The 21,400-nt window shown below is 38.5% G+C and overlaps 1 protein-coding gene across 2 annotated transcripts in view, besides 5 other annotated features; it reads left to right on the top strand.

Annotated features, from left to right (window-relative positions):
- The window catches only part of EFNA5 (ephrin A5), a 294,044-nt gene that overhangs the window by 145,825 nt on the left and 126,819 nt on the right, over positions 1-21,400 (top strand). The gene's annotated exons all lie outside the window — the stretch shown is intronic.
- Positions 4,962-5,463: an enhancer, noted in NCBI's record as "NANOG hESC enhancer chr5:106855351-106855852 (GRCh37/hg19 assembly coordinates)". NCBI's record gives its function as "activates a minimal SCP1, AML or CMV promoter by ChIP-STARR-seq in naive H9 embryonic stem cells {active_cell/tissue: H9 hESC(naive)}" and the evidence as "EXISTENCE:reporter gene assay evidence [ECO:0000049][PMID:30033119]".
- Positions 7,738-7,787: a silencer, noted in NCBI's record as "silent region_16212". NCBI's record gives its function as "represses an Ori minimal core promoter by ATAC-STARR-seq in GM12878 lymphoblastoid cells {active_cell/tissue: GM12878}" and the evidence as "EXISTENCE:reporter gene assay evidence [ECO:0000049][PMID:35858748]".
- Positions 11,687-11,746: an enhancer, noted in NCBI's record as "active region_22864". NCBI's record gives its function as "activates an Ori minimal core promoter by ATAC-STARR-seq in GM12878 lymphoblastoid cells {active_cell/tissue: GM12878}" and the evidence as "EXISTENCE:reporter gene assay evidence [ECO:0000049][PMID:35858748]".
- Positions 12,731-13,025: a silencer, noted in NCBI's record as "tiled region #8638; K562 Repressive non-DNase unmatched - State 24:Quies". NCBI's record gives its function as "represses a minimal TATA promoter and a strong SV40 promoter by Sharpr-MPRA in K562 cells {active_cell/tissue: K562}" and the evidence as "EXISTENCE:reporter gene assay evidence [ECO:0000049][PMID:27701403]".
- Positions 12,731-13,025: an enhancer, noted in NCBI's record as "tiled region #8638; HepG2 Activating non-DNase unmatched - State 24:Quies". NCBI's record gives its function as "activates a minimal TATA promoter and a strong SV40 promoter by Sharpr-MPRA in HepG2 cells {active_cell/tissue: HepG2}" and the evidence as "EXISTENCE:reporter gene assay evidence [ECO:0000049][PMID:27701403]".

Raw genomic sequence — 21,400 nt, 5'->3', positions numbered from 1 at the left:
TCAAAAGTCTCTCAGGCAATGCTGGATCTGAATGTAAAATCCCTTTAGGTCATCAAGCTTGTGTTCTTTTCCCTTATACTTTGCTATTACTCTAAGATTAATACATGTAAATCAGAAGTGCAGTTTGTGTATGATATAAACATATATGCCTAATCTGCATTAACAGTATGAGTTTAATTAAAACTGGGAGCTTGCATGCTACTAATTTTTAGAAGTTTAATATTTACTACTATTGAAATTTCTAGGGTGACTCTGAGTATGAAGCAACTATCCAGAAAGTTTCTAAAATTGCAAAAGTGGTATCACTATAGGCAAAGGTGGATAGATGCTGTAAAAAGGACATCCCTTCTGCACTTCTGGGTTTTCTGCTGGTTCACTCTAGGCCTGAGGGGATATCAAGGAAAGTTACCTCTCCTTGGATTTAATCATGAAGTTTGACTTTACCTAATGTGTAAAAACCCAGTTTGGCTTTTAGTGAAGCAAATAACTTCACAGTTTTCTCCTATATTCAGTATGGCTAGCATCATTAGACCTGTATGTAGTTAACTTTCTTCTTCTCTGTTTGCCAGTAGTAAAAAATGTGTTTGCATTAGTGGAGTAAATAGTAGATGATGTATAAATAGTATAGCTTGCCTATTGTTTTTCACCTACCTGAAGCTGTTGTTGCATTTTTAACATGCTTAGACATTTTCCTATTTTGAGGCACTTTTTGATCAGCTGTGACTCACTCAACCTGTGCTGTGGGCCATTTTCTGTGACCAGGCAAACAACTATGTTTTGCCATTATTAATATCCCTCCCTCATTGCTCCTACTGGGACAGCTGGTGCCCACAATGGCTTTATGTTACTTCCAGTGAATTTTTTGCTCACAAATCTGGCCTGCCAGGAACATAGGTGAGTAACTTCAAGTTAAAGAGTCACTCATGGTAATTTCAAGTTAGAATGTGCGTGGCTCAGTGACTTCATCTACGGTAAAGATTGCCATGGGTGAAAAGAGGTTAAATAGTATCATTTTGGTTGACTAACTACATGAATTACAAAACAGAAGAACCCAACAGGTTGATTATCAAGATCTAAACAACTGGCATTAAAAAGGAATCTATTAATTGCTATCATGAACCTTAAAGATATTCATTCAGAACCCAACCTGATACTTTAAATTGCTGTGCAGTTTAATTATTTTCTATTAGCATAGAGAAATGAATTGGAAGGTAAGAAGGGAGCTATATCTCCTATTGTTAATTGCAAATAATAATCTACAGTCTGCTTCTGCTACCTGTTGTCATTCTTCCCTACCAGCTAAATATAAAAGCACCCATGCATTGCTCACCTGCATAAAGAGAAGAAGGAAAGTCTGATTTGTTATTACAAAGGGATTTATTTCAAAAAGGAAAGTGAAGGGATGACAGATAAGTGCACTTAAACCTTTTGAGCATTACAGAAAGCTTGTAGAATTCGGGTAACTGAATGTAATCTCTGTATTCTCCGTTAACGATAGAGCCTCTTGGACAGACTGAAGTTGTGCCTGGAACCATAATACTCTCTTTATGCCACTGTCTTCCTTCTTAGCAGGCCGAAAGGCACACACTCATGGCTGATTCATCTGCTCTCCACCTGCTGGCCCCCTTGTGAGCCAGAGCTTTTGGATCTGATGTAGCCTTTTGGGTGTTTGCACAAAGGGCTGGCACATTTGCAAGTGGTATGTCTGCTTGCAAAGCAGTGGGACACCAAAAACATTAAACACAGATTGTTTGGGGTTTAAGCAAATCTAAGACAAACAAGTTGAATATCTGAGACTATTTCTTAAAAAAAAAAAGGAAGCACATATTTCTGATTTTCATAACTGAATGATATCATGGCTATTTCCCAACTCTGGATAATACTAAGATAGCTGCCCTTCCAGAGGTGTCTGGCATATGTAAAATCTTTCAAAAGCAAAGGTAAGAACACACTAAAAGAGGAGAAATATTGTCTGGTCTGTGTGAAGATTGGCCATAGTTGGTTAAAATAAACAAACAAACGAAAAAACAGTACTAATTGAGCTTAGTGATATTAACTTGGTAAATTAAGCCAGTTTGTCTCTTTGCTTTATCTGTCTTGTGGAATCTGTATCAGTGGAAATTAAATAGTCTTTACATTTGATGAACCCTGTTTAGGTGTTGGAAATACCCATCTATTTGTTAAAAAGGCAAGGTCCCATGATTTAGTGAATGGGGGATACAGACAGCCTTTATTCAAGTAACTGAATAAACAAAAGAATTAGAGAGTGTGATGAGTTTGAATAAAAAATATAGTTCATAAAAACCAGAAATGTGATAGAGCATAGTGGCTGGAAGAAAGTTACCCAAGTGGCTTGGGTAGTCAATGAAGTTGACTCCAACATGCAGTAGTACTTGGACTGAGGCCAGAAAAATTAGAAAGAGGCCAGGCATAGCAACTCATGCATATAATCCCAACCCTTTGGGAGGCCAAAGTGGATCACTGGAGGTAACGTCGACCTCAAGTGAGATCGTGTCTCTAAAAAAAATAAATAATTTATTTTTAAAATTAGCTGCATGTGGTGGCACGTGCCTATAATCCTAGCTACTTGGGAGGCTGAAGTGTGAGGACCACTTGAACTCAGGAGTTCCAGCCTGCAGTGAGCTATAATTACACTACTGCACTCCAGTCTAGGCAACAGAAGGAGACCCTGTGTCTTTAAAAAAAGACAAAGAAAAAAAGAAAGAGAGTGAGAAAGAGCCAGGAGACATAGGTTTTAGTGGCTCTGTGAGGCATAAAGTCCTGGGTGACCCCATGGATATTTCAAAGAGGTCTTCACATTTCCTTGTATCACAAAATTTGATGGGTGACTAATAAAACATGTACAGATGTGCCTTAGAATACATGTAGCATTATTATCCCCCAATAATATGCATGCTAGTGAGTACAAATTCATATAAAAAGTTACTGCACTAGAGTACTTTTTGTCATGTTGTACTTTTTAGTGTTCAGATAACAGAAATACAGCTGCTTCATGGAAGAGTTTTCATTCTTGAAAATACTATGGACCGTTGCTATATAATATTGTTAGGTGCATGAGGATGATTTGTCCACTCTTGTAACAGAAAAAGAAAGCATAAAATGCCTAGCAAGATGGTGTACCTGTAGTCCTAACTAATCCAGAGGCTGAGGCAAATTGCCTGAGGCCAGGAGTTGGAGGCTGTAGTGTGCAATGATCACTGATCCTGTGAATAGCCACTGCCCACTCCAGCCTGGAAAACATAGCGGGAACTGACTAAGAAAGAAAAAAAGACATACAATAATATATAGATGGTCTTCAACTTACAATTTATGCACTTTACGATGGTATGAAAGGGACACACATTCAGTCAAAACTATACTTTGAATATTGGGTTTTGATCTTTTCCCAGGCTGGCGATATGCAGTACAGTATCTGTCACGAAGCTGGGCAGCAACAGTGAGTTGCAGTTCCCAGTAAGCCGCGCAATCACTAGGGTAGACAACTAGTACTTGGTGGCTCATGCCTGGAATCCCAGCACTTTGGGAGGCTGAGGTGGGAGGGTTGTTTGAGCCTAGGAGTTTAAGACCAGCCTGGGCAACATATGGAAACCCTGTCTCTCCAAAAAAAAAAAAAAATATATATATATATATATATAGCCAGGTGTGGTGGCACATGCCTGTGGTCCCAGCTACTAAGGAGGCTGAGAGGTAGGAGGATCACTTGAGTCCCAGGAGGTCAAGGCTGCAGTGAGCCATGATCATGCCATTGTACTCCAGCCTGGGCCACAGAGCGAGATGAGACCCTGTCTCAAATAAATAAATAAATAAGTAAATACATACATACATACATACTCTAAAGTTTATTGTGTGGCCAGATGATTTTGCCAAACCATAGGCTAATGTAAGCGTTCTGAGCATGTTTAAGGTAGGCTAGGCTTAGCTATGATGTTTTGTAGGTTACATGTATTAAATGCACTTTCTACATACAATAATTTTCAACTCACAATGAGTTCGTTTATCAGGAAATAAGCCAATCATAAGTCAAAGGAGCATCTGTATAGGTCTAATGGTGAAATGGCACATGCTTATTTTCAAGTTAGATTTCAAATCATATTACATTTATCTTATAATTAAATTGACTAAATGTAAGAGAATGGAAGCTTGGAAAATAGACACAAATGGTGTTTTCTTTAGTATGATACATTTAAATATTGTGTATGACTACATGACCAGGGTATGAATGACTGCTAAGTACCCTGAGCTATCACTGTTAAGATAATTTAGTAAAAGAAACAGCAAATACATCTTGATCCACAGTGATTACTACCCATTCACTCTGCTTAAGGCAGATCTGGTTGGTACCAAGCAGTCAGAAACACTCACACATCCTCGAAAACTTGCTAATTATAGTTTGAAGGCCAGCTCTTCTCGTAACCTCTTCAGAAGAAAATCATAAGATGGCAGACTTATTCGGTTCAACCTAACAAACATTTATGTTTTTAAATAAACTGAACTCCACTAGGAGCTCCCCCTTGCCTACCAGATGAAAGACAGAATAGTTAATTTGGACTCACCTAGACACAGATACAAATAGATGCTCAACATTTTGTGCCTGTGATCTTGAGAACAGCATAGCCAACTGAAAGTAGCCAGATAACCAAGATCATGCTTTTTTATGTGTTCAGATTGAAAGCATTTTCATTTCTTATCTGAGACCTTTTTAGTTTTTTATTTTCTTAGTAACTGGTTTCTTGAATTCTTTCTTAAGAGGACTTTATTGTATTGAGAGTGAAGGGCCCCACCCTTTTCTCACTCTTATTGATTCACTGCCTTTATAAAGCTTTTAGTGACAAACCAGATGTGGTATGCAAACAGACTCCACAAGCAAGTACAGCGAGAGAAAGCCTCGGGTACAGTACATGAGACCAGTTTTTGTTATAGCAGAGTGACACAGTGATTTATGAAGTGTCAAACCCTCTTGCCGTTGAAGAATTCCAGCCTTCACATCTGTCTTTCGTGTTTATTTCAGTTGCCCTGGTGACACACTGTCCCCGTAAGCCCTGAGATGGTTCTGTGGACCTTGTAGCAAATGAATGGAGGGCTGTTTCCCCCCTTTAAAGAAAGGAAACAAAGCATGAATGAGAAATCAGGATGGAATGGGAAAGTAAGTCATTGTGCTTTGTCGCTGTTGCTCCACTTCATCCCACCTGGCCCAGCCAGAGTGGTGCTTACAGTTCAAAGAGAAAGGAAACTTTGCGTGAAGATTTTGATGTGACTTGAAGCTCCCAGAATGAAAATGCACTAACTGCTCTCCTTTTCTTAAAATTACTTATTTTTAAAGTAAAAATATTCAAATAAATTCACTTAAGCACAGTTGCATATTTTTTTAGACTAAGTCATGGTGTTCAGGTAGATGTCTAATTTTACATTTTCTGCAGTGTGTGCTTTCCAAGGGGATCGCTTCGCTCCATGCCCCAAAGAAACAACAATCGTTTTCTCAGTGTTTTATTTTGGAAGACACTCTTTCAAAGACCTCTGTATGTTTTTCCCTTAGAACTTTGACACCCTACATGTCTGTTTATTGTTTCAGTATCATATAGAAATTCTGAACAGGGCTTTCTACAGGATGAAATGGATTAAGTGAGAAAAAGTTTTCCAAAAGGATTAAGCTAGGAAAACCTGGTGTGACCTTGTCAAGACAAGATTGTTTTTATTCCTTTGCCTCAATAAATGGTCCTGTGTTTTTGAGCAAAGGAGTTATGAAAAGGTAAACAGCCCATTTTGTAAAAATCTACATTTCAGCACATGTACTCCTGCAGTTTTAACTGATGTTCTATAAGCAGAATCAACAATTGGACCATGATTCTGCTCACTAGGTTCCGACTTTTAGAATTAGGATATTTTGATGGTTAAAACTTTGCATGGGCAACAGCTAATATATGATCTCATTAATAAGTGGAAATGAAGAACAACGACAGGGTAATTCAAGTTCTTGTGGCAACTACCTTTGTGTCTCTGGAAGAGGAATATCTTCATTGGTTGAAAGCATATTCATTAAACTAATGTAATAACATATTATAGAAATAGATTTATTCTCTGTAACCACACATCTCAAATATCATTACATCAAATGAAACCGGTTGGATCTTGTTTTTAAATTTGGGTCACAGGGATCTTTAAGGGGAGGAACCTTGGGAATAATTAACATGGTTCCTCTCAATGACTGGAAATACAGAAAATACTTTCCATTGAGTTTCTAGGAATTCAAGTAGAACAAAAAGATAAAGTTCAGGTGGCTTTGTGATTCAAAGCTGTGGTTTTTGCCTTTCAGCCATGCCTAATGAAAACATTGCCATACGTTGTAGGAACTAGTGTTGCTTTTCTAAAATGACTTGATCTTCAGCAGCTCATAGGGGTGCTTTGGGGGAGCTGAGGTTACTGAAGTATACCTAATGGAAATGGCTACAGTGGTACCTTGTCTTTGGCAAAGGAAGATTCTTGCCCTGAGAATTTTTAGGTATTTTTTTTTTTGGCATGGTGTACCTCGGCTTCCCAATGGGTACTAATTGACTGGGAACGTCATTTGCAATCCTTGAACATCCTTCTGCCCACCAGTCCCCCAGGCTTTGCCTGTTCCATTGTTCTCCACAGTGGCTGCCCTTCTATTAAGCATGATCAGGACTCCGGAGCTCTCCTCTCCAGAGATGTGTGTGCATTATCAACTCTCCTACTAACACCAAAATCCTGTCAATCACAGTGACCTCCAGGGCCTCCAGCAAGCCTAGTAAACAAGGGACCGATGTCTGCAATGGCTTTTTATTCACTTTTTTTTTTTTTTTTCCGAGTGGGGCTTTCTAATTACTCAGTTGTGTATGCAAACACTGAAGGAGCATTAGGCGCATCAAGTGGGCCTCTGCTTTTATTAGGAAACCCTTTTATTTTCTAAATAGAATATGTCAAACATAGTCTTTCCTTTTTAGACAGTTAACCTTTCATCTCTCCTGTAGCAGAAATTCCAGTCTCTGGGGCTTGCTAATTTTGTATTTGAAATATTCTAAAGCAGAAGGAAAATGCTGTTTACAGTGCCTTCATTAAAAAGCTTTTAATCCTGTTTTGTTGTTGCATATATAGTTTGGATCCCTGCTGAGTACACTTCATTGCATAAGAAAAATACAGTATTTTTAAAAGATATACCAATCAACCCAACCCAATTCTACTTTGACCCTGACAATTGAGTAGACAAAAACGCTTTTATAGTGTTCATACTTAGCAGATTATAATGAAAATATGAGTTTAATAGATCCTTAAGAATGTGTTTCTAAGTGATGTACAACCTTATTTTTGAAAAAGTCTTTTACGTAGCCTGCTTCGTTTGTTCTCACACATTATCACATACATTGCATAATATAACCGTACCACTTGTAATATGACTTGTCACAGAACATGATTCAGACATAATGCAGCGCAATTTGTTTGACGTTGTTTCCCAGTGATTTTCATATCTTGGCATATACAGAAAACCAAGATCTTTATTGGGCACACAAGAAGAGGCTAAAAGGATAATAATGATAGTGAGCACTTTTAAACTTTTCTCATATATTGAATTTAATATTCACAACAACCGTATGAGGTCAGTACTATTACTAGTGTTTACAGATGAGGAAACTAAAGTACAAGAAGCACCGAGTGATTTGTCCTGAAGTCACAGAGCAGTAGGTGGCCGACCTAGGCAGTCTGGCCCGGAGTTCAGTACTTTTATCACTGTGCTTCAACACACCTGTAACCCTCTCCTGAGTCACCATGATTGTATAGGAGTGGAGAAAAGAACAGAAACCATAATTTGCATGATGAATACTGTGAGATAGCATCATTGTCTTCTAGTTTCTCCTCCCTGCACCCTATAACCTGTAAGCTTTTATAAATACTGGACTTTTTTCCATCTTTTTTTTTTTTTAGTAACAGTGTTATTGAGATGTAATTTACATACCATAAAATTCATGAGGTGTAAATGTACAATCAATGAATTTTAGTGTATTTACAGAGCCATCCAGTCATCACGATATAATTTTATGACGTGTGTATTCTAGAAAGGTTGATACCCATTTATAGTCATCCCCTGTGCCTACCCCCAGCCCTAGATAGCCTGTCATCTATTTTCTGTCTCTATATACTTGCCTTTTTGGGACATTTTGTACAAATGGAATCATACAATATGTGTTCTTTTATGTCTGACTTCTTTCACTGAATATAATATTTTTGAGGTTCTAGATATTGGACTTTTATGTAACATATTTTATTATTTTTCAGACATCACTGAAATGTTTCCTAAGCCTACAGAGGAGCAAGGAGCCCTGGCTTTACTAAATAAATGCTGTGGTTTGCAGCTGTCACACATGGTTTAGATTTACCATTGAGGGAAAACATCATCACCATCATCATAAGCTTCCCAGATAATTAAGTACTTAGATGTGGGCTTCATGGTATTTAAAGCATTCTTTCTTTTACGGCCATATGTGTAGTGTATCAAAGAAGCAGTTTGGGAGGAACAGGAGTTGTCAATTCTATAAAAACAAAAATAACTTGAAGTGGTTATTTCTCATAATATAGTTAAAACAGTTGTTTGATTAACAGATTAGCAGACCAACAGGTTGTTTTGGGCACTACATAGACACAAGCCCAAGTCATTTCCTTTCATAGAGGTTTTTCTTTTTTACTTTTGAGGATTAAATTCTCTTGATTCCTGTATATCGTGGCTGCTTAAAAAAAATAAAACTCAACCAGGCATGGTGGCTCAGGCCTATAATCCCAGCACTTTGGGAGGCCGAGGCGAGAGGATTGCTTAAGGCCAGGGTTTGCCACCAGCCTAGGCAACATAGTGTAAACTCGTCTGTCCAAAAATTAACACACACACACACACACACACACACACACACACACAAAACTAGCCAGGCATTGTGGTGCCCATTTTTGGTCCTAGCTACTTAGGAGGCTGAGGCAGGAGGATCACTTGAGCCCGGTTACTTGAGGCTGCAGTGAGCCATGATTATACCACTGCGCTTCAGCGTGGGCGACAGTGTGAGACTGTGTCTCAAAAATGAAATAAAATTCTAGTGTCTAGGGCTGTAGGTCATTTGAATTGTAAGGATAAGTAACCCAACATAAATGGTAATTCAACAAATGGATGATGTAACAAGCTCTACAGTAAAATAAACCCTGTTCATTTTTAAACTGCTTTGGGATGATTTTTAGTTTCTTGGGCTTGGATTCTCCTGTGTACAACATATCTCATAGATAGATAGCCTTTGGGGCGTGAGCATGAGTAGGAAGAGGTTATAAGATTAGGAAGTACCCAGAGTTCTGTATTATAACACATTGATTTGATTTGTGGAGTCCAGGCCTTAAGTAGATAAAACAGAGCACTTTAAAAGCCATGTCTGCTGGGTGCAGTGGCTCATTCCTGTAATCCCAGCACTTTGGGAGGCCAAGGCAGGCAGGTCACCTGAGTTTGAGAGTTCGAGACCAGCCTGACCAACATGGAGAAACCCTGTCTCTACGAAAAACACAAAATTAGCCTGGTGTGGTGGCGCATGCCTGTAGTCCCAGCTACTAGGGAGGCTGAGGCAGGAGAATCGTTTGAACCCAGCAGGCGGAGGTTGCATTGAGCCGAGATTGTGCCACTGCACTCTAGCCTGGCAACACAGCAAGACTCCATCTCAATAATAATAATAATAATAATAATAATAATAATAAAATAAAAAATAAAAACCATGTCTTGATGCTGGGCATGGGGGCTCACATCTGTATTCCCAGCACTTTGGGAGGCTGAGGCAGGCGGATCACTTGACGTCAGGAGTTGAGACCAGCCTGGCCAACATGGTGGAACCCCATCTCTACTAAAAAATACAAAAATTAGCCAGGTGTGGTGGCTCAGTCGCCTGTAATCCCAGCTACTTGGGAGGCTGAGGCAGGAGAATCACTTGAACCCAGAAGGCGGAGGTTACAGTGCAAGTGGACTTTCTAGTTGATTGGGACCATCTTGTCTGCTCCTTGACAGTACACGTGGCTGGCAGAGAAAGGAAGATGGAGCTGCCATCCTGCACATGTCTAGTCCTTAGTTCCTGCCGGCATTCACCCATGCAAGCTCCTAGCTTGCAGGCAGCTCTTTGTTAGAAAATGATTTGGGGCTGTTTTTCTGTTTTTCATTAAAAAGAAAAGCCTTATCAAGGACTCCCATGCCCTTGCTATCTGCCTAATTTCTTCTTAACTCCTATATCATAAGGAGAGGTAGGAGATTAAGTCAGTGAAGTAAGGAAAGAGGAGACGGGAGGCAGGTCACGTAGGACCTCATAGAATCCTTGTAGAGACTTGGGCTTTTACTCTGAATGAGACAGGAAGCCATTGGAGGGTCTGAGCATTTGTTTCTCCTCCTTTGAAGAATAATTTTTTTATTTGCTTGACAATAAAAAGGGTTAGCACATTTCCATTTTTAGGGTTACCATTGGCCTTTGTGTTGATGGTTCCTTCTGGCAGAAAAATAAATCTGCCCTTGTATGTCAGCTTCCTTGGGTCTCCCACACACTCGTCAGGTTGTGGAGAAGTTTGAATTTAAAACAAGCATTTCACAAATGACTCACGTTCCAGGTGGGATGATGTGTTCTCTGCCTACCACAGAGAAGGGAGAAATCAGTTCACATGAAACAGTAACCTTTTCTTTCTCTCTGCATTTTCCTAGGAGCAGAAAAGCACACAAATGCTTTCTTTCTGATTGTGTATTTGGAATGTTCCTTAAGATGGATCTCTGTTGAATTCCCAAGTGAATACTCCAATCTGTATTTAGTCTCAAATTCTGACAAAAAAGAAAACCTCTACCTGATGAGGAGCCCCGTCTCTCTGCTGTTTTCTTTAGGTCTGGAAGATCAGGGATGCTTCATAACTTGGTGCCAGAAGAGAAGGGAAGATTGATTGGGGTTTTATGAGGTGGCAAAATACATAGCTAAACCTGGGGACAGGGATGTCATTTAGCATGACAGAAACAGCAGAAAACAGGAATAGTGCTTTATTTTGTTGTTTTTGTTAAAGCAATGTGAGACTTGTTATTTCTACCCCCGTGGTCCTGGTTGTTTTTGTGTTCAGCACAGACGTTCAGGAAACAGATTCCAGCACCAACACCTGTGCGACGCTGACCCAGGCCTACCTCGCAACATCCTCCTCTCTTACTGTATCACACAGATCAGCTTACATGTCACACTTATTTCCTCTCCCCTCTGCTCATCCATCCATAGCTATCCACTGAGCATTTCTGTCCCTCCCTCTGAGTTCTTGGAATTAAAGAAAAAACAACATAGAGCCCAGTATCTCAGTGAAGAGCCTGTTTTTAATGGACGGATACCACCAGCCTCTTTCTGTTCAGAAACATCTTATGAATCACAAGCAGTTTTGCAGGCTTGCAAGAAGCTGGTGCCCCACAGCACCCGTCATGTAGAATAAATAAATGAACAGTTGATTTCGGTGGGGTGTCGGTGTCCTATTTTTAGAATACCATGTTTTCTGCTGGGGCCATTCAGGTAGTTCTCGTTTTAAAATTCTAACATCTGCCCAGCATACATCTTCTGACATCTGGCTTCCACTTGCTACACAAGTGAGACACTTTGACTCATTTCCCCATCTTTGCAGTGGGAGAGTACCCATTCCTGACATGCTCTGAAATGGGGCAGGTAGCAAATGATTTGGAAACAAAACCCACAGAATCAACATGCTCATCACATTTTATTATTAATTGAGCTCCCAAGCGAGTGTTTCCTTGTAAATCCCAACAGGCTTTTATTTGATAGAGTCTCTCTCTCTCTCTCTCCCTCTCCCTCTCCTCTTGGCTCAGGAGGGGGCAAAGCTGCCCCTCTTTTCCCAGCCCCAAATCTCTGACTACAGTAGGACTTAAGCACAGCAGCCTGAGCTGAAGCATGTCATCCCTGAAACAAAGCTACAGAGGCATGGTGCCAAGGCAGCCAGGGAAGCACAAATTACCTCTCATGCCTGGTGGGTGAGGCCCCTAGCCCCATCCCTGAGTCCATTCCTCCTGGCCACTGGGTACGTAAGTACCCATCAGGAAGGGGCAGAGCCTCTTTCTACTAAGAGTAGTACAGTCCAAATCATCAAAGGAGACCTCATCAAGACTAGCTCACTTGGAGACTTCTTCACCAAGGAGCACAGACTTAAATTTACAGTTGATTCTCTCCACAGCAATTTTATGTCTTCAAAGAGCTCCCCAATTATTTTTATTACGTTTTCTTGGTAAGCAACCCATGGTGAGGTAGTGCACAATGAACTACCTGAGGTATAAAAGAAGTTAAGTGATTTACTCAGAAAGAGTGGTTAGCAGGGTTGCCTTTGAATTCAGAACAGCATTCTCGGTGATTGCTGCTTGATGGAGCTGTCATCTTGGAGTTAAGTTCTCGTATATGCTTTTGCAAAAACACCATGGTGTGTGTTTGGCTCTGGCAAAACTTTATCTCATTGCTCTATTTTAATGGCAATAATCACTGGAAATCAGCACAAAGTCTTCAGCTTCTTAACCTGGGTGACATGCTTCAGTTTTGTGCCTTCTGTGACTCTCTGTAATGATGGCCTACAAGAACTGTAAACCTCCTAGAAGGTAAAAAAAAACAGGCTAGAGTATTGATTTCAGGTTGTGTGAGGAAGAAACAAGGTGGGGGTTTTTGTGTTTTTTGTTGTTGTTGTTGTTGTTGTTGTTTTGTTTGTTTTGTTTTGCCCCTCAGCTTGCAAATCAGTTGCTTATACCCAGGCGATTGCAGCCATTTACACCCTACTGAGGAGCCTATGTGGGGTTCTTTAACCACTGAGCCAGGATTGATTGACAGCCACTGTCTTCAACTACAACAGAGATGGAGTGAGCGCTTATACAGACTCAGTGGGGTGGGACTTCCCTGTTGAATGCTGCTTTATGTCTTTTCAGGCAAATGCCATTTACATCTGCCCACCATTTGAAGTCTCTTTTGACTTTCTATTTCTTTCGAAAGGAAGTAAAACAAGTGTTGCAGGAGCCACAGATAGCATCATGGCATTTTCTTCATTTTCTCAAAATGCACCTTTTGGGTGTTTTGTGAGCAAGATCTTAAGGAAAGTAGGTCTTTTCAGATGAAAATTTTGTGAAGTCTTACTATGATGTAAGCTAATGAAAATTTGGGGGAATGCATTGTGAGTAGGCAGGGCTATAATTGTTTTTTAGCCCTTTGAACAAACCATGTCTACATATAACATGTTCATGGTGCCACATTATTAGTCAGGTTTTTTTTAAGAAAAGTAATATATGTATGCATTGATAGATAAGAACTATTTTTTTTATGATAGTTTTGATGTTAAATAGGCAGTGGTGATAAGGATGAATTTAGAGCTATGCTATTAGATGATTTAGGGCACTTAATTTACAGATTAAAGTTGAAACTAAAAAGATTGTTGTACTTTTAAAAAAGCTTCAGGTTGGAATGTAACACTTTATAAATGGATATTCATAGAAAGTCACAATAGCAAAATATAGATTTACAAAATCAGTGTATTTTTTAGGATACCATTTATTTTATTATTAAAATACTGAGTTTATTTTACATGTATATTTTTGTTTCTCTACCAGTTTCATGCTTGACTACCACTACTACTATATTCTATCATAATATTCCATACATCCATTTACTTTAAAAATGTGTTCAAATATCCCTGATCTCATCATCTTTTCAAACTTCGTGGGGATTTTATATTTAGAAATGCAACTATGGTGCCGGGAGCAGTGGCTCACTCTTGTAATCCCAGCACTTTGGGATGCCGAGGCGGGCTGATCACCTGAGGTCAGAAGTTCGAGACCAGCCTGACCAACATGGTGAAACCCTGTCTCTACTAAAAATACAAAATTAGCCAGGCGTGGTGGCGCATGCCTGTTATCCCAGCTGCTAGAGAGGCTGAGACAGGAGAATCACTTGAACCTGGGAGGCAGAGGTTGCAGTGAGCCAAGATCGTGCCATTGCACTCCAGCCTGGGCAACAAGAGCAAAACTCTCCGTCTCACACACACACACACACACACACACACACACACACACACAAAGAAAAAGAAAGAAATGCAACTATGTTGAAATAATTATATAATCATTTTGATGACCATCCAGTCCACAAGGTTGAATTAACCATGTAGTTTAAAATAGTTTCTGTTTGAGAGTATTGTAAAGTAAGAAAAGATTTTTGGTCCTTGCAAAATCCTGAGTAGGTAGCTCGTTGTCATCCTAGTCTCAGTGTGTAGCTTTGGAGAAACTGATCACAACTTTTTTGAGACTGTGTTAAAACTTGCATCCAGGAGGTTTATAAAAAAAGATTGGGCTGTTCTGGTCTTCAGCACCTCATGACTTATTTTCTAAATTGTGACCCAGTCTTTCTAGTTTATTTCTTTACTCATATATTCAAGAAAACGTACTAAGCACCTACTTGTCATAAACATTTAAGACTTCCTGGTAACCACCATTTAAAGTATTCATATTGTAGTATTACCAGAAAGGGGTCCAGATCCAGACCCCAAGAGAGGGTTCTTGGATCTCGCAAGGAGTTTGGTGCAAGTCCCTAGAGTAAAGTGAAAGGAAAGTAAAGGAATAAAAGAATGGCTACTCCATAGGCAGAGCAGCAGCTTGAGGTGCTAGACTAAGGATACTTACAGTTATTTCTTGATTATAGGCTAAACAGAGAGTGGATTATTTATGAGTTTTCTGGGAAAGGGTGAACAATTCCTGGAACTGCAGGTTACTCCCCATTTCAGACCATGTAGGGTAACTTCCTGACATTGCCATGGCATTTGTAACTGTCATGGCACTGGTGGGAGTGTCTTTTAGCATGCTAATGTGTTGTAATTAGCATATAATGAGCAGCGAGGATGACCAGAGGTTACATTCATGGCCATCTTGGTTTTCGTGGATTTTGGTTGGCTTCTTTACCACATGCTGTTTTATCAGCAAGGTCTTTATGACCTGTACCTTGTGTTGACCTCCTATCTCATCCTGTGGCTAAGAATCTCTTACCCTCCTGGGAAAGCAGCCTAGTAGCTCTCAGCCTCATTTTACATAGCCCTTATTCAAGATGGAGTTGCTGTGATTCAAATGCCTTTGACAGTAGCATACAGTGAAATGATGATCATGGAGCATATTGTTATTAACTAATGGCGTAATCATTTCCATGAATTATTCAGTCATTAAACATTTATGTTCTGAGTGTCCATTATGTGCCATTCAATACACAGATATTTATTGAGCATCTGCTAGGATCAAGGACTCTTCTGGGTTCTAGAAATATACTAATGAATGTAATAGGCAAAAATTTCTGCCCTCGTGAAGGCCGTATTCCAGTGTTCCTCATCTACGTTTTTAAATCATTTATAACCATTCATCTGTATATGAGTATATTTTTAAGGGGTGTAAAAAGAGTTGACACTCAGGCCGGGTGTGGTGGCTCATGCCTGTAACCCCAGCACTTTGGGAGGCCAAGGCGGGCGGATCACGAGGTCAGGAGTTCAAGACCAGCTTGGCCAACATGGTGAAACTCCGTCTCCACTAAAAATACAAAAAAAAAAAAAAAAAAATTAGCCAAGCATGGTGGCACATGCTTGTAATCCCAGCTACTCGGGAGGCTGAGGGAGGAGAATCGCTTGAATCCTGGAGGCAGAGGTTGCAGTGAGCTGAGATCGCACCATTGCACTGCAGCCTGGGCGACAGGGTGAGACTCCACCTCAGAAAACAAAAAAAAAAAAGGAAAAGAAAAAGAGTTGACACTCACTTTTGCTCTTTTGTGTTGGTTCTTTCAGATGAAAAGAACAAATAGTCATCTTAAAGAGTCTGTAAAAGGGTATCTAAAGACATCTGCTCTTATGTATTAATGGGTTATAAGAAAATTTTTAGCAAAATTGCATTAGAGACTACTAACATGTCACGCTAGTCACCATTGTTATGTAAGTGACACAAATTCTGATTAACTCAAGAGCGAAGCCATCCTATAAATAAATTTATAGGAATAGCACTTTGTCCAAATGCAACTTTGAAACCTGAAGTTTGCTCCTAGGTAATTAAAACCAGAATACCTAAAATATCCATTTAATCGAGGAACTATAAACTGTCAGGACAAATAACTGCAATACAATAAAGGAACACTGCAATAAGTAAATAAGTGAATGATTAAATGAAATGTTTCAAGTAATGAATATACCTAATTCTGTAATGACATTGGACATGAGAAAAATGAAATTATTAATTATTGAAACACCTTTAAGTGGAATTAACTTCTAGAACTTTTTTCTCATTATTATAAAAACAAGAATAATTTATTGCTTATACTTGTATTACTAGCTGTTTAGTATACTCTGAAAATAGTGATGGTTCAAGCTTGACTTACACTTAGTTTTTAGAAGTCTATTTAATTAAGATTATTGTTATATCAAGGCTGAAGATAATTTGAAAATGGCAGGGCTGACCTTGATATTTCAATTCTAGCCAGTTTGATAGCCCTGAAGTTATTATGAAAATTTGTCTGCAGTTCATGTCTTCAAGGTTGGTGTAACACAGATGAGGCCCACATTTTTATTTAAAAGACATATACAGGAATTAAACTATGCAGCAGAAGACACAGATGGAAATAGTGTTTTACAGCAAAAAACTCTGATGACATTCGTCTGTGTGTGTGTTTGTGTCTGTGTGAATAATTATCCAGAGAGCTGCTTCTATAATACGGTGACCTCACACGTGAGGACCTACGGTGTTCACATAATAACTGTGGTCACTGAAGGTGGATGCTATTCTAACTTAAGTACTGGCATGCTTTCAGTTCTGTTCCAAGAAGCCATCCATCTGCACTTCACTTGGCTCACAGTTCCACAGAGAACAAACAGAAGGATAAACTGCAAGTTTAGTTCAGTGGCAGGAGGAAGGAGACCTGATTTGCCCAAGGCATCACCTGATTTGGCCAAAGTTCCAAAGATGATGGGAGAAACTTTTGGGTAACTACCCACATTTTTTTCTGTGAGACTTTCTTCCCCACAATTCCCTGAAAATTAGTCTTTCAAAAAAAATCTTCAGATTCTTATCCTTTAATGGTTAGATCCCACCTTGTCCTCTTTCCTGGCCTTTCTAAGCATGCACCAGCCCACAGCTGGTTAATCTTTGCTCATTCTCCAGAGTGGCATTGTCCAATAGAAATATGTGAGCCATGTATATAATTTTCAGTTTTCTAATAGCTACATTTTTACCAAGAAATTAAAAATGCTGGTGATATTAATTTTATATTTAATTCAGCATATCCAAAATACGACCTCCTGGGTTCAAGTGATTCTCCCACCTCAGCTTCCTGAGTAGCTGGAACTACAGCTGCGCTACCATGCCCAGCTAATTTTTTTTTTTATCTTTAGGAGATGAGGTTTTGCCGTGTTGCCCAGGCTGGTCTCAAACTCCTGAGCTCAAGCGGTCCTCCTTCCTTGGCCTCCAAAAGTGCTGGGATTACAGGTGTGAGCCACCACGCCTTGCCATTTTCCGTTATTTATATCCAAACCCTTCATCCATTCCTGCATTCCCTGGCTAGGTTCTTAATTAATATAGGCTGCTAAATGAATGAATGATCCATTTTCATTGGCTCTATTGTTTTAATCTTTTAAAGTTTACATGGATGTTATTAAAGACTTATAATTTGTTTTATACCAAAATATACCAGAATTATTTTTCTAGTGTAGTCATATTTATAGCTTTATGAAAAACAGCAGAGGCAAAGCAGTCAACCATAGTTAGGAGATGAGATTTGTAATCCATATTTTACTGACAACTTTCTGTGTGACCTGGAGGTGATCATTTAACTTCTCTGGTCCTCCCATTCTTCTCATCTCTAAAATGCTGTGGGATTAGATTACTTCTAATGTCCTTTCTCATTTTCTGATTGTATCATTTATTTTTGAACAAAAGTTTTTTTTTATTTTGACAGATCATATTATATAAGAATAATAGCTCTCTCATTCTGACCTTCACATACAAACTTTTGATCATTTTATGTTACTTCTCTAATCCATATTCTGTATTTCATTTTCAAAAATTTAGATTCTTATCCCTGAAGATGATGCATTATTTCTGTATTCTTAGCCCGTAGGATAATAAAGCAGCAATAAATGTTTAATGAATTTTTACTTACATTAAAAACTATTAGTAACAGTTTGCTTCTTGGAGACAAGCCTTTTTCAGCAGGTGGTGAATGTTTCAGCTGTCTTTTTCCTTACTAAAGAAGGATTCTGAGTAGGTTTCACCCTCAAAATCTAGATATTATATATTTTTTGTTATTCACCTTTGTGTTTCCTGCAGCCAAAACTGTTTTTCCTGCCTTGCTCTTCTGATCATGTTATTTCCATGCTCAAGACTCTCTAGTGCCCTAAGAATAAATTTGAGGCTCCTTAGCTTGCCATTAAATGGGCTGCCCACCCTCCACACCTGCCTCAGGCACTCATTTCTCAAATCCCCTGCTCCTGCTCCTGCTCATCTGGCCCCAGATTGCCTCTCCTCTTTTCCAGTCATCTGATTCATTCCTATCCTTTAAGGTCTATCAGAGTGAGGTTTGAGCCCTATCTTCACCCCAGTCCATAATTTAGCAACCTTTGCTAAGGTAACCTTTATTCTTATTTGCCATTATCAAACACAAATACTTACACCAATAGAGTTCAGACTACTTCTTCAACTAAATTGTAATGTTCCAATGACAGGTTAATCATTTACTCTACTGGATGTTTACTATGTGTTGAATTCTCAGCCAAGCCTCACGAATAAAAAGAGCAAACATGCAGACAAATAGTTATAATATAGTTCCAATAAGTACAGAATTTGGAATATGTACAAGATATCTTGATGGACCAGAGAAGGGAGTAGACAACTGTTCCTGAGGGAAATCTGGGAAGGGTTCATGGAGCTGGTGAGTCCTAAGCTGGGAGTCATTTCAGGCAGTGAGAGGTACACAAATAAAGCGTAAGTGCTCAAGAGCTTGAAGTGTTTCTTGTGGCTCCCTGTGGTTGTGCTTTAGAGCAATATAGCATAGTGGTTGAATGTGTAGACTGGATCAGACTGCCAGGGTTTAAATCTTGGCTCTGTCGCTCACTAGCTCTATCACCTTGGGCAAGCTACTTCAGTTAGGCTTCAGTTTTCTCAAATGGAAAATGGGGATGATGCTGATGTTGATGATCATAATTGTTTTTTATCTCCAAGAGAAGGTGGGGGGGAGAGAAAAAGAGAGAGAGATGGGAAAGGGGGATTAAATGAGTTAGGTAAAGAATGTAGAATAGCAAGTACTTAACAAATGTTAATTATATCTCTTACTACTGATTCTCACAGTGTTGTGTACATAGGAGGTACCCAATGAATATTTACTGAATATTGAAGATTTTCACTACGCAATCAGTTAATATATTCACACGCTTTGCTATTACTGCATACATTTTCTAATGATATCTCTTAGTGATATGCTACTTTTTTGAGGATATAGGAGGGGTGTATGTGTGTGTATCAGTGATATGTGCCAGATTCATATTGGCTCACTAGGGGAAATTTTCCAATTCTGAGATCAATGACCTAAATCTCCTTGTCTACTATGATTTCCAGCTGTCCAGATTTCCCATATAGCATGCCCTAGGCAATGTTTGCAGATTTGTTGCATGGAGAATCAGTACACAGTGCACCTTGTAGTTTTACATTTTTCATGTAGGACTCAGTTTCTTTTCTAAAGAAATTTTTGTGAAATTAATAACAGGATGCCATGAAGCTTTCCTAAGTCCTTTGAACTTAAATCATTTGATATTATTTGAAATTGCCATTCATATAATGAACAGCATTTTTTCTCAGAGTTATGCAATGCCTACTGCTTCACAAATTATAAACTACGAATATTTTTACTTAACATATAACAGGTCCCTTATCTTAAAATTCATAGCATTTTTGCTTTGAATGGAGATCATTGCCAAGTTTTTGTTAGGCACCTTTTCTTTACAGAGCTTGTCCTTTATTATTAATGTCACAGTAGTTTTTCAGAACAAATTGCATTAAAGATACGGAAAAACAAAGGCTACCTTTTATACATACATTGGTTTATTGAAGCAATAATTGAATAATAAATAGGATGATATTATAGGGCCAAAATTTTACTACTAGTTATATGACAGGTTTTTCTGTTATAGCTATATTTTTGAAGCATTTTAAAATAAAATAATTAGGGTTATTCCTAAAGATTAAAATTCAGAGTCTACTAGAATAGTAATGAAAATCATTATAATTGTACTTTCACAAACATGTGCCAGACCTTTTAAGCTTGGTGCCTAAATAGGCTTCGACAACACTTTTTCATGTACTCCTACCAAATATCTTGGGGATAGGTAGGGAAGCTGTTCCACTGATTTTACAGATGGGCAGACTGAATCATAGAGCAGTTAAATGATTTGCCCAGGGTAATGTAGTAATTAGATATCTGTATCTGTCTGTGCTCTTTTCATTAGTTTATTCTGCAGCTCAAAATGTTTGTTCCTATAAGCATGCATATTATTTGTACATTAATAATGCATTTTCTATTTCTATAAAAGAAGAGAGAATAGCAGATAAAGCTCCAAATAGAGAAGACACATATTTTAGTAAGGTAGCTTTAGCATCTAGTTCTTTTTTATATATATAACATATCACTAAAAATGTATCCTCTTCGAGTGTAGGGACACATTTTGCTTTACTTAACAGCATTCATTTAAGAAAAATGCTAGTTTCATTTCAAGTCAGTTACTTTAAAAAATAATTATGTTAAAAGATATTTTAGCCCTTGTCAGTCTGTAATTCAAACCTTAAGAATGAAGCTCTTTTTTTAGTTAATTTAAAAAATACCCTCTCTTTAAATACTTTCATCCTGAACAAAAAAGACCTTTCTTTTGGGATTCCTTCTCTGCATGGCAGAGTTCCTTACAACAAAATGCTCGAAGAAAATAGGAGGTACTTCAGATACTTCTTATATAACTGATGTTTGAAAATGTTAGACTGATTGATGTATAAAAGTGAATTTTCCATAATGGGATTTTAAGTCATGAAGAATGAGGAGAATTGCCTGATTATTAGTTTAAAGGTAGCTAATTCAATGCATGCTGTAATACATTTTAAAAGCTCTGCATTGCAAATACTGAATGATGTAAAATACAAAATACACATCTTTTTATTTCCAAAGAAGATTAGAAAACAATAAAATATTAGAAACTGAAATTTTTAATTTTTTAATGGCCTTTTTAATGGGTAAACAATTTAGTAATAAAAAATATTAATGGTTATGAAGATAATAATTTTAAAGTGACTGCTGATAGCTTGGGTTACAAA

Source organism: Homo sapiens, chromosome 5 (genome assembly GCF_000001405.40).
Source record: "Homo sapiens chromosome 5, GRCh38.p14 Primary Assembly".
Classification (NCBI taxonomy): domain Eukaryota; kingdom Metazoa; phylum Chordata; class Mammalia; order Primates; family Hominidae; genus Homo; species Homo sapiens.
The sequence above is the reverse complement of the archived record's forward strand: the minus strand, read 5'-3'. Positions and strand labels throughout refer to the sequence as shown.